Source organism: Homo sapiens, chromosome X (genome assembly GCF_000001405.40).
Source record: "Homo sapiens chromosome X, GRCh38.p14 Primary Assembly".
Lineage (NCBI taxonomy): Eukaryota > Metazoa > Chordata > Mammalia > Primates > Hominidae > Homo > Homo sapiens.
Window position 1 is genome coordinate 35241110 of NC_000023.11, and position 16241 is coordinate 35257350.

Genomic DNA, 16241 nt, shown 5'->3' on the forward strand with positions numbered 1-16241 from the left:
GACACAAAATTAACCATCACAGATGGTATGTAATAGAAAATACAATGTGCAACATCTATTTTAAAGCAATATGTAACACACAATTTTGTAATAGAAAGCTTTAGATTCCTTAATTCTTATTTCTTGTTTTATTCTTGACTTTTTGCATGATGAAGATCAAATCATATGCACTTTTGAGAGTCCTGAGATACAGAGGAATATTTAAAGTTAGTGGCCTGAGAATGAGATTACTTATAAACACAGAAACAGAAAAGAATAGATCTGGGACCTGAGCTCTAAAACATCTCATCACTTAGAGGTAAAGAAGTCACAGCAAAGTTGACTGAAGCAACAGCAAATGAGGTAGTAGGACAAAATAAGACTATGCAGTGACCTGGTTGCCAAATAGTGTTTCAGGAGGGAAGTGATCAATAGTGTCAAATGCTGTGAAGGTAAAGATGGGGACTGAATAATGGCCACTGGATTTAATAATGTGAGCAGAACTAATAGCCTTAACAGAGCAGTTTCTGTGAGTGGTGAGAATGAGAGAATTGTGTTGCCATCAGACGTTAGGACAGTTGGTCTTACAACTATATATATATATATATATATATATATATATATATATATATACACACACACACACACACACACATATATACACACACATATATATACATATATATACTTTATTTTTCAAGTAAATTTTTGATTCATAAAAAATTTGAGTAGAAAGTACAGAGAATTCCCATATACTCCCTCCCCACCAATGCACAGCTTCTCTTCACTGACAATATCCCACACCAGAGTGGTACATTTGTTACAATCAATGAACTTACATTGATTCATCACCACCTAAATTTCATAGTTTACATTAGGGTTCACTCTTACTCTTGTACATTCCATGGATTTGGATAAATGCATAATCTCCTTTGTAATATCATGCAAAATAGTTTTATTACCCCAACATTTTAGAAAGTATGAACCAGAAATGTATTACTGAGGATTTAGAACATGGGCTGATAGAATGTCATCTATTCATTTTCTCCTTGCTTTTATCATGTTTGCTGTAGTCACACAACCTTCATATATTTCCATGCTTAATCATTCTGCTTGACTTCCTGGCTCATGTGGCTACAGTTTATAAATAGTTTGTTCAAAGTTCTCTAAGAGTAGTCATATGGTTTGGCTCTGTGTCCCCACCCAAATCTCTTGTTGAATTGTAATCACCAGTGCTGGTGGGAGGTGATCGAATCATGGGGTCATAGAATTCTCATGAGATATGCTTGTTTGAAAGTGTGTAGCACTGGCCGGGCACGGTGGCTCACACCTGTACTCCTGGCACTTCGGGAGGCCGAGGTGAGTGGATCACGAGGTCAGGAGATCGAGACCATCCTGGCTAACACGGTGAAACCCCGTCTCTACTAAAAATACAAAAAATATTAGCTGGGTATGGTGGCAGGCGCCTGCAGTCCCAGCTACTCAGGAGGCTGAGGCAGGAGAATGGCGTGAACCCAGGAGGCAGAGCTTGCAGTGAGCCGAGGTCACGCCACTGCACTCCAGCCTGGGCGACAGAGCAAGACTTAATCTCAAAAAAAGAAAAAAAGAAAGTGTGTAGCACCTCCCACTTCACTCTCTTTCTCCCGTTGGCCATATGAAAACATGCTTGCTTCCCCGTCACCTTCCACCATGATCATAAGTTTCATGAGGCCTCCCCAGAAGCAGAAGCCTGTGCAGCCTGCAGTACTATGAGCTCATTAAACCTCTTTTCTTTATAAATTACCTGGTCTAAGATAGTTCTTTATAGCCATGTGAGAACTGACTAACACAACTAGTGATTGGCTCAGGAAAACTCCAGGAGTCTATAGGATGCGTCAGTCAGAAGATGAAATTTTCAGTTGGTTAAGGTAAGACCTATGTATGAATGAGACTCCACTTAATACCAGTGTACTGGTTTAAAATAAAAATCTGACATCAATGCTTTCCTTAAAGGAAGAGGGTATGAAAATATGGTACTGAAACTAAATAATACCAAATAACTTTGAGAATGTTTTTACCAACAATACATTGTATAGGATAATTATATATTTTAGTGCTACGAATAGAATTGAATCTGGAGGTGGGTATTGACTGATGAGTGAAAGGCTCTGAAAGTGGTATGGGATCTCTGGGGTGTCACTTTCCTGATTGGAAACCTCTGTGCAGCTGCTGCAGTAGGGTAGGCAGCTCCAGGTGTGAGCACAGGTGCCGGCTCTATGTAACTCTATGGCTGGATCAGGCACACTACATGCAGCTTCCACAGCTGGCACTGGGGAACATGGTGGCACCTGGAAGCTTGGAGAACTGCAGAGTCCAAAGGAGGGAGTCACAGATCTGGCTCAGGAGCCCCAGTTCTGGGCTACCTGAAGGGCTGCAGCTCTTCTCTCCTCTTCACCCACAATGTGGCAAGCAAGGGGCCTGTCTCAACCCTGTTTGCATTATAGCTCTTTTAGCCTTGCCATTTGGTGGGTTCCAAGTTCTTGTCCTGTGACCAGGAAAAATGAGGTACACAGACAAGTAGAGGGTGAACAAGAGGAAGAGGTGCTTTATTGAGTGATAGAAGAGCTCAGAGGAGACCCGCAGTAGATAGTTCCTTTCCACAGCCAAGGTTTCCTGATAAGTGTTCAGCTCCTAGCAGAGAGGAGACCCTGGAGTGGGAAGCTCCTCTCAGAGGGGAGACCCTGGAATGGGAAGCTCCTCACTGCAGGCAGGTCATCCTGTCGTCTCTGCAGCTCTCAGCAGAGAGAAGGCCCTGCAGTTGGTTGTTCCTCTCTGCAGGCAGGTTGTCTTGTCATCTTTCCAGCTCTCAGCAGAGAGGAGGCCTTGGAGTGGGTAGCTCCTCTCTGCAGCTGGTTGTCCTGACATCTGCTCTGCTCTGCTTGAGCCTGAGGCTTTTATGGGCCTTGGACAGGAGAAAGTGCACACTGATTGGTCCATGGGTGACCACGGGTGGGCCCAGAAAAGGCACCACAAGTTCCCACTCTGCTCTGGGTGACTAGCATCCTGGCCCCCAGTCTTCAGGTTCTCCCTGGCCTGAAGGTAGGACCTCAATGGGTACCTGGCCCCTTCTGCCCAGGAGCCCATACACTTCCTGCTGCAGTCCATGGTGCCCAGGCTTCTTGCCTCAAGGGGCACCTGCAGGCCAGTGCTAAGATGCTCTCAGTCCCCCCTTGGCTCCCTCCAACGGTGTTAATTGGTGCCCAAAGTCTGGAGGGAACTGAGGTGGCCAGGGGCTGGCATGTCAGAACTTCCTCCAGTGTGTGCACCCCTATTTGGTCTGTGATGGTGCCTGGGATTGGCCCTATGTTGCTCTGAGATCAGAGCAGGCATTGACAGTGGAGAGAAGCCAGGCAGTGGGAGCAGGCACTTCCAAGTCTGCAAGGGCAGGAGATGGCTTTCCTGGGCCCCCAATCCAGATTTGGGCGGCTGCACCTGTGCCTGGGATGGTGGGGCTTCTGCCTGCTCTCAGTTTCCACAGGCTCTGTGGAGCACACAGCCCCAGCTGCACCTACTTGCAGCCTGGGGTCGGAGCTCAAGGTCCTCACTAGGCTCAGTCTGGGATCCAGGGCAGGTGCAATATCTGCACAAGCTTCCCCCATTGCCCTGGTGCTCAGGGGTGGCCCGGGGAAGAGCAAATCGAGACCCCAGGCCCAGCAGTCAGGAGTGTTAGCTCAGCGGTCACCCTGACACAGGGTGGACCTCAGGGATGTGGCCCCAGAAGGTCCCACGGAGAGCCTCCTCCCAAGGCACAGGAACCTGGCACCCTTGGCAGGGTGGGCAGTGTGTCTGTGGGCACCAAAAGTGGGCACCACTCCCACTTTCTGCCACGGGCCCCCAAAGCAGGGCCCCAGCTCTGTGCCTGGTGCCTGGCCCCTGCATTCAGTGTGCAAGTGCAGCACCGCCCCGGGCCCAGCTTTGCTTCGGGACCCCACTCTGCCTGACCTCACTGCTCCCCTGTCAGTGGGCAACCTGGCCCCGTCCCATCACGGCAGCCCCCAGGGTGGATGACTGCAGGGATTTGGCCGACTCCTTCCTGTGCCCTCTCTGAAGTGGCCGAGGCTTGCCGCTGCCATCAAAAGGGCATCTGCATGGTTTCTTTTGTCACTGCTTTCTATTGTTCTCTGCTGTCTCTTAGGAGTGCAGCACATTTTAGTCATCCTTTGAAGCTGTGACAGCTTCATGAAAACAATCTATTGAACTGACTGAATTTTATTCTGTCTTCCCTGGAGAATATCAGAGAAAGAATATATCTAAAAACCATTCTGCAACACACACTTAATATAGAAATTAAAAGTTTGATAAAGTAATGAGCAGCTTGGGGGAAGAATGACACATTTGTCAACCTCTTCATGATTCTCTAGGATAGCAATGACATGCATAATTGGTGCTAAGCAGGGAGTGGAGGAGAGTGGATGGAAGAATAATTGATTCTTAATTTATTCCATTGGAACACCTTCAATGCTGTATTTTCCTTAAGTTGTACTAGAAATTTTCTATCATTTCTTTTTGAGTTGTTTAAAAGTCAAATAATTTAAAGAGTGTCTAGATAAATAACTTATAAGACAACAACTATTGGCAGCTTATTTCTCTGGCGGGTTTCTGAGGAGTTGAGTGGTGTGGAAAGAGCATCATCCTTGGAGCAGAAGGCTTGGTGTTGAGAACTCAGTTTGCTACGTGTTAGACAAATTTAACTTGGACAAAGTCTCAACCCTTACTAAGACTCAGCTCTCTCATCTATAAAGTGAAAGTATTTCCCATGCTAATCTCACAAAACTATTATGAGAAACACATGAGGTGATGTGAGAGAAATCTATCTGTACGAGGTAAAGCACCACACAAATACCCATTAAATAGATTTTACATTTTGGTATACAACAAGACAAAAATCTGACCAGGACACAGACCTAATTATCCTAGAACAAAATGAGGAAATTTAATTTAGATAGCAATGGTGCTTATCTTGTAATTTTTGTATTATTATTTCTTCTCTTCAAGGGCAAACAGATGACTTTCTTTGTGTATTATACTTATTCTGTTTGCTAATCTTTAATTTACATTCTCCTAAGGCAACAGTTACCTAACCTCTATAACTCATTGTTTAGACAACTGAATGACTTTCTTTCATCCTTGATTTTCTAATACTATCAGTACAATGTAATTGATACACAGGGTTTGAGAAACAGTCTACTAATCAATGATAAGTCATACCAATAGTCACTGCCATTGTGTAAGGGAAGGTGATGCTTTGCCAAAATCCCTTGAAAGAGAAAAAGATACAGGGTTGGGCAACACTTCAAGGATCTTTCCTGCTGATGCTTTGGACTTCAGTCAAGAAAATATTTAAATCAGTCCCTAACACCAATGGTAATTTAATTTTTATGGACCCACAGGGAAAGAGATTATGCACACACACACATATGAGTATAAAAACTTTTCAGTTATAATATTCTAAAGATCGGAAAATTATAATTTTCAAGCCTAAATTATACGAAAATCACAAGGCCATATATATTACTTTATTTTAATGAATATGTTGAAAGTGGAAGAATAGAAAGGGTGCTTTTGAAAAGAGGAAAGAGATCACAGAAATACAATTGAAAATGAATGAAGGGAAACAAAGGGGAGAACATTTGGTTTCATATCACAATGGGAGTCTAGCAGTGATGTGAACAGGAACACCCTGAATTTTCTACTTTTCCTTTCTTTGTACATGCTGTCTTGTGTTTTTGTGGTTCTTAAGTGAGAATGCTTGTCTTCCCCAGAAGTCTGAGCCACAGAAGATTCTAAAGATAGTAGCCAGTGCTCATTATGTCTAGGTCTAGCTCAACAGTGCTGGTGATACTGCTTCTACCTGCATCATAGAACTTGGTTACATTTTTCTTATATTTACATACTTAGAATTGTGCATCTTTGGCTAATCTCTAAACTTGTGGAGGCTGAACAGTGTGTTTTATTCTGTTTATATCCCTTATTACGCTAACTCAGCCTTATGTATATAAAATATTCACAGAAATTTCCTGGAAAAATGGCCTTGAGACAAGATATATCTATGCGGTTAAAATATGAGCTTGGAGATCAACTTTACAGAAGAGGATGTGAAGGAGCCCAGTATTCTGAGGAGAGCCTGCATCAGGATGTCAGGTGATGCTGTGCCCTTCTCTGCATCCTGTCAGGAAGAGGTGCAGAAAGACTGTCTCATTACTGGCAATGTGAACTTAAATCAGGTGGGTAAGTTGCTGTCTGCCACATTCTTCTACTGTAAAGTTACCATTTTTCACATTATGTTAATCTGTATTTTGTGGGGAGATACTTTGAGCCTGGGCAAATATACCTTTTTTGTCATACTCTCTTCTATTAAATTTACCATCCAATGATGATTTTCTGGGTTTTACTTAATAGATATTTTCTGTTTCCATAATTTCATCCTCATTTATTAATAAGAATTTTACAGTTAGCAAGTGCTGTCTCCTAGTCACTATTTATTATATGGTTTGGTTTCAAGAAGGGTGAACATTGGAATGCATCAAACATGTTAGAAAGGCCAACTTTATAAAAATATTGTGTCAAATGCTTGTAATAACTTACTGCCTTTGATTCTCTACATATGTATTAGTGTGTGGGTGTATGAGGGTAGCATATACAGGTGCCTTGGGCACATAGGTCCATTTGCTCTTGAAATCATGATGGACAAAAAAAGAAATTAAAGTCACGGGTTTGATATATCCAAAGGGAAGTACAACTAAATAATGCAGACCTGCTACTGGGTGACATCATGTAACATGATGAGAGAGGCTAATTCAGAATATTGTATCACCACATAGTCAATAGACAAAACAAAACAAAACAAAACCAAGGAACAATTTTGAGGGAAAATTGGATAAATTGTGGGTTCTCAGAAAACCTTTCTTTGAGTTCATTTTTATTTCATCTCTAAAGTAGTGAATAATATTGAGTCTAGGTCTTTCTTCCATAGGTACTGATATGGTTTGGCTATGTCCCCACCCAAATCTCACCTTGAATTGTAACTCCCACAATTCCCACATGTCATGGGAGGAACCCGGTGGGAGATAATTGAATCATGGGGGCGGGCCGGTCTTTTTTGTGCTGTTCTCGTGATAGTGAGTAAGTCTCACAAGATCTGATGGTTTTAAAAACAGGAGTTTCCCTGCACAAGCTCTCTCTCTTGTCTGCTGCCATCCACATAAGATGTGACTTGCTCCTTCGTGGCTTCTACCATGATTGTGAAGCCTCCCCAGCCATATGGAACTGTAAGTCTATTAAACCTCTTTTTTTTCCCAGTCTCAGGTATGTGTCTTTATCAGCAGTTTTACAACAGACTAATACAGGTACCATATTCTAAAAGTATGAATTCATTTCACAAAATCACACTCTAATCATATTAAATGGCTTCCAAATTTAAATGAACGATCTTTGCTTCTTAGAAAAGAATTGTATTATGAGTCTTGGTTAGTTAAGATACAAAAGTACACACTTTCTTATAGTACAAATAGCCTTGGTGTAAAGCCTAACAAAAATTGCCCTCTGGGCTAAAGAATTTTCTCACATTTCTGCCTCGCAATGGCATCAAAATCATATGAGAGTCTTTTTCTGGCCAAGATTGTAAAGTCAATTTAAAAGATTTTGTTACGGTATCATTTTCCCAAAGGGAGTAGTCCTTCTGAAGGTATTACTCCAGATTTCAAAACTGCTAATTGGTGTGGTGCTGTTGGCTAAACCTACCATCAATTATGAAATAAAAATCATATTTGATGAGTTTTTTTAATTCATTCAAAGTGCTTTGAACTTGCTCTAACAGATAGCCACAGTGACAGATAATGTGGATTGGTTACTCAAAAGCTCTTTATCACTCCCTCTGCCTTGAATTTCCCTACTGAAGAGACTAGACAGCTAACTTAAGTCACTAATTCAGCTTCTCTGGAAGCCACAGTAGCCTGATTAAAGTAGTGCTTTGTTTTCTAATTTCCCGCTTTATTGAAGCGTGACTGACAAATAAAAATTGTATATACTTAAGATATACAATGTGATGAATTGATATACACATAAAATGTGAATTAATTACACAATCAAGCTAAAAACATTTGAAACGCCTCACATACATACTTATTTTGGGCATGAGAACACTTAAGATTACTCTCAGCAAATTGTAAGTACAAAATTCATTATTATCAACTATTGTTACCATTGTGTACATTAGATCTCCAGAATTTATTGATCTTATAACTTAAAGTTTGTACCCTTCACCAACATCTCCCCATTTCCCTCACTCATCCAACCCCTAGTAACCACCATTCTACTCTTCTGATTTTATATTCCATATATAAGTGAGATTATACAGTATTTGTTGACCTGTGTTTGCCTTATTTCATTTAGCTTAATGTTCTCCAGTTTCACCCATTTTTACACAAATTACAAGATTTCATTTTTTTTAAGGATAAAGAATGAATTGACAGAAGTAGGCTTCAGTAGCTGGGTAATAATAAACTTCATTGAGCTAAATAATTAGATACAAACACACATACATATTGTATTTATACATACATATGTATACAAAATTTTATTTATTCATTCATCTATTAATGAGCACTTAAGTTTATTCCATATTTTGGCTATTATGAATAGTGCTGCAGTACATCAGAGTGCAGACGTCTCTCCAACATAGCATTTTCATTTCCTTTGGATATATATCTATAATTGGGATTGCTGGATCACATCATAATTTTATTTTTAATTTTTGAGGAACGTCTATATGATTTTTCATAATGGCTGTACCGATTTGCATTCCCACCAACAGTGCACAATGGTTCCTATTTCTCAACACCCTCACCAATATTTGTGATTTTTTGTCATTTTGATGATAGCCATTCTCAAAGGTGTGAGATGATACGTCATTGTGCATTTGATTTGAATTTCCTAATGATTAGTCATGTGGAGCACCTTTTTATAAACCTGTTGGCCATTTGTATATCTTCTTTATGAAAAAACCATTGTGTTCATTTGCCCATATTTTAATTAAATTATTTATTTTTTTGCTATTGAGAGGTATGAGTCCCTTACATATTTTGGATATTAACCTTTTTTGGATGTGTGGTTTGCAAATATTTTTAAAAGCCACACAGAACTAAAATATGTATTAGAATTAGTAGACAAGCATATCAAAAAACTGTTTTAACTTTATTTCACATATTTTAAAGGTTAAGTACAGAAATGCAAGATATAAAGACACCATAAATAAAACTTCTAGAGCTGAAAACTACAATGTGTGAGATGTATACAATAAAAAATACACTGGATTGGCAGAATAAAATGTCAGTAAACTTAAGAACAAACAATAAAAACTATTCAAAATAGAAAACAGGAGAAAATGGAATTTTAAAAATGAAAAGAACATAAGTGAGCTGTAAGAACATTTGTATGTGGCCAAAATGACATGAAATTGGAGTCCCTGAAACGTCATGGAGAGGAATCAGACTACATTTAATTATATACTTTAATAGTGAAATTTTCCCAATTTAAGATTATATAGTCATAAATATAAAAAAGATTATATACTCATAAATATAAAAAATTCAAGAAACTCCAAGTACAAGAAACATTTAAAAATTCACCAAAAAAATTCTGGGGAAAAGCATGGAATAGAGAGCAGCCAGGATGGATTAATAGAAGCAGCTGCACTCTGTGGCTCCCACTGAGAAGGATGAAAACTGCGAGTGAACTCTGCATCTTCAATTGAGGTACCAAAGTTCTCTTACTGGGACTGACTAGGTGGTTGGCACGAACCACTAACAGCGAGCAAAAATGGGATGGAGGAAGGGCCCACCGGGGACGTGCATGGGGCAAAGGAAACTTCCTCCTCTCGACAAGGGAGACGGTGAAGGATTGTGCGTTTCCTCCCTGAAAATCAGACTTTTCCCATGGATCCGTGCAACCTGTGGATTAGGAGGTCCCCTCCTGAGCCCACGCCACCAGAACCTTGGGTCCCAAGCACCAGGCTGTGGAGACTCACAGCAGCTGCTCAGGTGGACGGCCACTTTAAGCAGGCACTGACACACAGGAGTATTTGCATGCTCTGACTCTGGGAACTCCTGTGAGGCAGAAGATCTGTCCACTTTCATGGGGAGGGGGCTGAAGCCAGGGAGCCAAGCAGCCTTGCTCCCACAGAACTCTACAAGCTAAAACACACTGGCTTGAAATCCCCACTAGCCAGCACAGCTGGCTAAAGACTGCCTAAGAAGACTGAGTTCCCAGGGGGATGGGCAGCTGTCATCACCGTGGCTCCAGTCAGCCACTTTCCCCTGCCACCAGTGCCAGCAAGAAGGAGGAGTCTAAATCTATAGCAACTCCCCACAGTACAGCACAGAGGCTGGATCAGTCTGTGGCCAGACTGCTTCTTTAAATAAGACCTGGATCCACTCCTCACTCACTGAGCAAGGCCTCCCTATGGAAATCTCAGCATCCCCAACCAGGGATTTATGGACAGAACTCTGATAACTCTGAGAGGAGACCCTAGGAGGAGGAGCAGCTGTAGTATTGTGGATCAGTGATCTTAGTCTTTTCTGCCTGCTCACTCTGGAGGGTCAGGGCAGCCCAGATGATGGGGATTCCCCCAGCACAGCACGCCTGCCCTGCCACGGGACAGACAGACTGCTTGTTTAAGTGAGTCTCTGATCTCACTTCTCCTGACTGATTGAGACCTCCCAACAGGAGTCTTGAGACACCTCATACAGAAGCATTCCAGCTGGCATCAGGTCAGTGCCCCTCTAGGACAGATCTCCCAGAAGAAGGAGCAGGTTGACATCTTTGCTGGTCTGCAGCCTCCACTGGTGATATCTCCAGGGGTGGAAGGAACCCAGGAGATTAGGGTCTGGAGTAGACCCCAAGCAAACCAGAGCAGCCCTACAGAAGAGGGGCCTGACTACTCCAAGAAAAACAAACACAAAGTAACAACATCAATGAAAAAGACCCCACAAAAACCCCATCCAAAAGTCAGCAGCCTCAAAGATCAAAGGTAGATAAACCAATGAAGATGAGTACAAAATCAACACAAAAATACCAAAAACTCAGAAAGCCAGAGTGCCTCTTTACCTCCAAATGCTCTCAACATGTCTCCAGCAAGGGCACAGAACTGGGCTGAGGCTGAGATGGATGAATTGACAGAAGTAGGCTTCAGAAGTTGGGTAATGAACTTCACTGAGCTAAACAATTATGTTCTCACTCACTGCAAAGAAGTTAAGAACCATGATAAAACATTACAGAAGCTGTTAAACTGAATAACAAGTTTAGAGAAGAACATAAATAATCTGCTGGAGCTCAAAAACACAACACGAGAACTTCGTAATGCAAACACAAGTATTAATAGCTGAATAGACCAAGTAGAAGAAAGGATATCAGAGCTTGAAGACTATCTTGCTGAAATAAGGCACGCAGACAAGATTAGAAAAAAAAAAGAATAAAAAGGAACCAACAAAATCTCCAAGAACTATGGGATTATGTTAACATAAGACAGAACCTATGACTGATAGAGGTACCTGAAAGAGATGGGGAGAATAGAACCAAGCTGGAAAACATACTTCAGGATATCATCCAAGAGAAATTCCCTAATCTAGCAAGACAGGCCAACATTCAAATTCAGGAAATCCAGAGAACCCCCCCCCCACCAAGTAAGATATTTCAAGAGAAGATCAGCCCTAAGGCACATAATCATCAGATTCCCCAAGGTCAAAATGAAGGAAAAAATGTTAAGGGAAGCCAGAGAGAAGGGCCAGGTCACCTATAAAGTGAAGCTCATCAGAATAGCAGCAGACCTCTCAGCAGAAACCCTACAAGCCAGGAGAGATTGGGGACCAGTATTCAACATTCGTAAAGAAAAGATGTCTTCTTTTGAGAAGTGTCTGTTCATATCCTTTGCCCACTTTTTGATGGAGTTCTTTTTTTCTTGTAAATTTGTTTAAGTTCCTTGTGGATTCTGGATATTAGACCTTCATCAGATGGGTAGCTTGCAAAAACTTTCTCCCATTCTGGATGTTGCCTGTTCATTCTGATGCTAGTTTCTTTTGCTGTGCAGGAGCTCTTTAGTTTAATTAGATCTCATTCGTCAATTTTAGCTTTTGTTGCAATTGCTTTTGGTGTTTTCGTCATGAAGCAGAGAGCCAAATCATAAATGAACTCCCACTCACAATTGCTACAAAGAGAATAAAATATCTAGGAATACAGCTCACAAGAAATGTGAAGGACCACTTCAAGCAGAACTACAAACCACTGTTCAAGGAAATAAGACAGGACACAAACAAATGGAAAAACATTCCATGCAAATGGATAGGAATAATCAATATTGTGAAAATGGCCATACTGCCCAAAGTAATTTATAGATTCAATGCCATTCCCATCAAACCACCATTGACAATCTTCATAGAATTAGAAAAAACTACTTTAAATTTCATATGGAACCAAAAAAAAAAAAAAAATCCCGGTTAGCCAAGACAGTCCTAAGCAAGAAGAACAAAACTGGAGGCATCACACTACCTGACTTCAAACTATGCTACAAGGCTACAGTAACCAAAACAGCATGTACTGGTACCAAAACAGACGTATAGAACAATGGAACAGAACAGAGACCTCAGAAATAACACCACACATCTACAACAATCTGATTTTTGACAAACCTGACAGAAACAAGCAATAGGGAAAGGATTTCCTATTTAATAAATGGTGCCAGGAAAACTGGCTAGCCATATGCAGAAAACTAAAACTGGACCCCTTCCTTACGTCTTATACAAAAATCAGCTCAAGATGAATTAAAGACTTAAATGTAAAACCCCAAACCATAAAAACCCTAGAAGAAAATCTAGGCAATACCATTCAGGACATAGGCAAGGGCAAAGACTTCATGAAGATTCTTTTAACTGAAAAGGATATATGGATGGCAGATAAGCACATAAAAAGGAGATTCAACATCACTACATTTCAGAAAAATACAGATTGAGGCAATGATAAGATATTCCTACACATCCATCTAGCATCAAAATAAAATGTAGTGACAATACCAAAAGCCAACAAAACTGTGTAGGACACTGGATTTCTCATATACTGCTGATGGAGATATAAAATGTTACAGCTACTCTGAAAAATTATTTCAGTTTCTTTAAATCTAAACAAACAACTCATACAACCGAGTGATTGTGCTATTGGCAATTTGTCCAGAGAAATTAAAACTTACATGTACACAGAAACATATATATATAATTGTCCAAATAAGCTTTATTTGTAATAATCAAAAACTCAAAAGAGCTCTAATATTACTCAATAGGTGACTGGTTAAAGAAACTGTGGTACATGCATATGGTAAAATACTAATTAACAATGAAAAGAAACGGACTTTTGATACATACAACCTGCATGGATCTCAAGGGTATTATTCTGAATGAAAACAAGCTGGCCTCAAAAAGTAACATACCGTATGATTTCATTTATATAACATTCTCAAAATACCAAAATTGTAGAGATGCAGAGCAGATTAGTGGTTCCCGATGGCTAGGCATGTTGGGATGGTGGGTGTGTCTATAAAGAAATTGCATGAGTAAGATATTTACCGTGAAGTAATACTCCTGTGTCTTGATTTTGGTGGTGGCTATACAGATCTAAACATGTCATAAAATGACATAAAACTATGCACAAACATTTTACCAACATCAATTTTCTAGTTTGAAAATTGTACTCTAATTTTGCCATATCTAACAATTTGGAAAAACTGTATGAAGCATACCTTTCTGTACATTTTTGCAAGTTTCTGTGAACCTACAATTGTTTCAAAAATAATACACAGGAATAATAATATACAGAAGATAAAATAAAATACATAATAATATACAGAATATAACTCTTTTCAATTGCACAGTGGGCATTTACACAAATAGATGATATTCTGAGCCATAAAACAAACCTTGGTAAATTTACAAATATTCAGGTTATACGAACTATGTTCTCTGACCACAATATGTAATTTCTACACTCATATAAAGCTCCAATAATCAACATTGAGTGGAACTGGCATAATGATAGATAGATAGATAGATAGATAGATAGATAGATCGATAGATCGATAGATCTATCAATGAAATAAAATGGAATTTTAAGAAATATACTCACACATATTTCAAAAAATAATTTTTGAGAAATATACAAAGGCAATACAGTGGAGAAGGGAAAATCTATTCAATACATTGTGTGGGCATAAATGGTTATCCATATGCCCAAAGTGGAATTTGATACATACGTTGGGTTACACACGCAGACCTGCACACAAATAGCAACTCAAAATGGATCATACCTAAATGTGAAATCTAAATTGTAAAACTTCTACATGAAAACCACTGTGACCTTGGGTTAGACAAATATGTCTCAGTTATGGCACCAAAGGCATGGTCCACAAAAGAACCAACTGACAATGTGGATGTCATCAAAATGAGAAGTTCATGCTTAGTGAAATACTCCATTAACAGCTGAAAAGATAAGCTACAGACCAAGAGAAATCATTTACAAACCACACATTGAACAAGGGGCTTGCATATAAAATATATAAATAACTCTCAAGAGTAATTGATAAGATATTAAACAATTCAATATAAAAGAGGAACAAATTAGTACAGACACTTGACTAAAGGAGATAGAGGGCGAATAATCCTTCCAGAAATGCAAAATAAAGCTATAAAACCATCACATGACACATCTATGAAAATAACTAAAATACATATTTTTAAAATGATAATACCAAGTGTTGGTGAATATATGCAGGAACTGCTACTCTAATGTGAACTGACTCAACCTCTTAGAAAAACAGTTTGGCAGTTTAAAGTTAAACAGATACCAGTCATATCTGTTTCACTCCTATGTGTTTACACAAAATATATGAAAGTGTATATCTATATAAACATTTGTACATGAGTGTTTACAGCAGCTTTATTTATTATATCACCAGAATTGAAACAATTACAGGGTCCATCAACAGGTGAATGAATAAACACTTTGTTGTATATCTATAAAATTGAATACTACTATAAAATAAAATAAATGTATTATTGTTACATGCCACAACATAGATGAATCCAAAATAATGATGATGATTGAAGGAAACAAGACAACAAAATTACATACCCTATGATTCATTTTATATGATATGCTTGGAATTGCAAACCAATATATAGTGATAGAAAAGTTGGTGGTTACCTGGAAACAAAAGTGGGGTGGGGAGGGAATGATAGATGGGTTACAAAGGGCATGAGAAAACTTTTGGGGGTGATATGTTCTTTATCTTGATATTGCTGATGTTTTCACAGACATATGTCAAAATTTATTAAATTGTAGAGTTTCAATATATGCAATCTATAGTGTATGTCAATGATACTTCGATAAAGCTTTTAAAAAGAAACATTTAAAAAATTAAACCTTTAAGATAATTTAGAGGAGGTTTGCCAACAAAAATCAGCAATGCAGGGACCTCTGAAAATTCAGCAGTTATTCAATAAAAACTGTGAATCTAGAAGCTGATTGTAATTTTCTACTCCTGGAAAATGGAAATGATAATTAGCCCTATAACCCTTATCAGGTAATTAGAAATATGTGCTCTTCATTGCAAATTAATTTCATTTGAGAAGTGAGCTACAAAGATACTTCTATTATTTGAAATGCAGTTTATAGGCTAATCACTGAAAGCACAAATTTTAGCAGGAACAAAGTAATGCTCATATTTGGAAATATGATGATATCTAAAAAGATGAGACCATGTAGAAAAAAAAGAGATACTACATATTAAAATTGTGATATTTATTCACAAAATAGTGTTTCACAAATGGAAAATCTCTGAGTAGAAGAGTGAGAAATGAGAAAAAATAGATATTTGCCTAAGAAAGAATCAGAAAAGGAAGGAGGAAGAAAAGAAAAATATATGCATAAGCCAAATGTTATAATGTTTAATACCAGAGAAAATATATGTTGATGTTTGTTTGAGTTATTGACAAAGCAAATACACTTTACCAAACTAAAAGTTTGTATAAACTATGAGAAATTGTCAATTGAGAAGGTTTTTATGTGTATTCAAATATGTCAAGTCCTAAAAGTATATTAATTCAATAGAAAAACAACTAGCTAAAACTTTAAATTGCTTCATGGGATTGACTAAGTGTACCTGTGATATTTCAGTGTTGTAAGTA